Source organism: Homo sapiens, chromosome 6, assembly GCF_000001405.40.
Source record: "Homo sapiens chromosome 6, GRCh38.p14 Primary Assembly".
Lineage (NCBI taxonomy): Eukaryota > Metazoa > Chordata > Mammalia > Primates > Hominidae > Homo > Homo sapiens.
This window is the reverse complement of record NC_000006.12, coordinates 11,142,800-11,144,474: the sequence shown is the minus strand read 5'-3', so window position 1 is coordinate 11,144,474 and position 1,675 is coordinate 11,142,800. Positions and strand designations below refer to the sequence as shown.

At 42.5% G+C, this 1,675-nt stretch overlaps 1 annotated feature.

Moving 5' to 3' along the window:
- Positions 1–50: an enhancer, noted in NCBI's record as "active region_23978". NCBI's record gives its function as "activates an Ori minimal core promoter by ATAC-STARR-seq in GM12878 lymphoblastoid cells {active_cell/tissue: GM12878}" and the evidence as "EXISTENCE:reporter gene assay evidence [ECO:0000049][PMID:35858748]".

The following is a 1,675-nucleotide window of genomic DNA, read 5'->3' as shown; positions in this document are numbered from 1 at the left end:
GAGTGAAATGGACACAGAAGATGCAGAATTAGGGGGCTTGAAAAATATGTATCTCATTAACATACACTTTTGTGTTTGCTGATTAAAGAAAATCGCCACTTTCAGGAGATTCTCATTAGGCAGGAATAAGGCATCTTTTATATTTTACACTCTCAGATTCCAATAAAAAGATTGCAGGCTAAAATGTTATTTTGATATAAGTTCTACTTTATATTGAAATATTGTTTAATTAATTCAACATAGTGGGAATGGTGGCACTTAATTTAAAAAAATCCACCAACAAATGTTCAATTCTTGTCTGGGATCAGGCCACTGAGGGAAAGGAAGACTTCTCTGTGACAGTTTGTCTTTCCAGACAAACTCTTTGTCTGGAAAGGGGGCTGTGTTCAAAGAACACTTCCCTGAGAAAGTGATTTGTGTGCTGAAATTGAAAGAAGGACTGGAAGATAAGGAGAGAGAAGGCAAGTTTGTGAGTGAGGGGCACGGCCAGTGGAAGGATCCAGTGAGTAGGGTGGGGATGTCTGAGTGAGGACAGCATGTTTGCGCAACTGAACGATGACTCATGTGGCCATGAGCATGTAGAGTAAGAGGATGACGAGGCAGCAAATGAAGCCGTGCAGCATGTCACCGGCATGTCGAAGCTTTTCTACCTTTTTTCTAGGAGCAATGGGAACCTATTCACATGTTCTAAGCAAGAAGACAAATTTGAGTTGTGAAAAGCTCATTCTCGGTAACGATAAGAGAAAATACTAAAGATGGGCTGTAGTGATTTGAAACAGCCACTACTGCAGTGGCCCAAGTGAGCATTATCATGGTAGGGAATAACCGATATATGCTGGGCACACTTCTAGATGCTTTGTGTATTGACTCATTTAAGCCTTACAAAAGCCCTATGAGATAGGTACTACTATTAATACCCATTTTACAGATGAAAAAAGAGGCATACAGAAGTCTAATTTCACAGACCACAATTTATGTCTAATTTTATGACCACTACATTACCTGGCCTACAGACAGTAATAAGAAAATGGAAGAAAGTATATGGTTTCAAGAGCTACTTCAGAAGAAAAATCAACAAGACCTGATGATGTGCTGGATATAGGACATCAGAGAGTATCAAGAATGATACCCAGGCTGACGACTTAAGCCACTGGATAGGGACACTGGAGGAACACCAGGTTTGGAGAAAGTCATAAGCTTGACCTTGCAGATGCTGAGTTTAACCAGTGTTTAACTGACTGAGAAGGCAGTTGGCTCAAGAGATAGAAATATGGAGCCAGGCACAGTGGCTCCTGCCTGTAATCCCGGCACTTCGGGAGGCCAAGGTGGGTGGATCACCTGAGGTCAGGATTTCAAGACCAGCCTGGCCAACATGGTAAAACCCCATCTCTACTAAAAATACAAATATTAGCTGGGCGTGGTGGTGCAGCCTGTAGTCCCAGCTATTTGGGAGGCTGAGGCAGGAGAATTGCTTGAACCCGGGAGGCGGAGGTTGCAGTCAGCTGAGATTATGCCACCGTACTCCAGCCTGAACAAAAGAGCGAGACTGTCTCAAAAAAAAAAAAAAAAGAAGAAGAAGAAGAAGAAAGAAGGAGAGGGAGAAGATGAAGAAGAAGAAGAGGAGGAGGAGGAGGAAGAGGAAGAGGAAGAAGAAGAAGAAGAAGGTTTCTACACT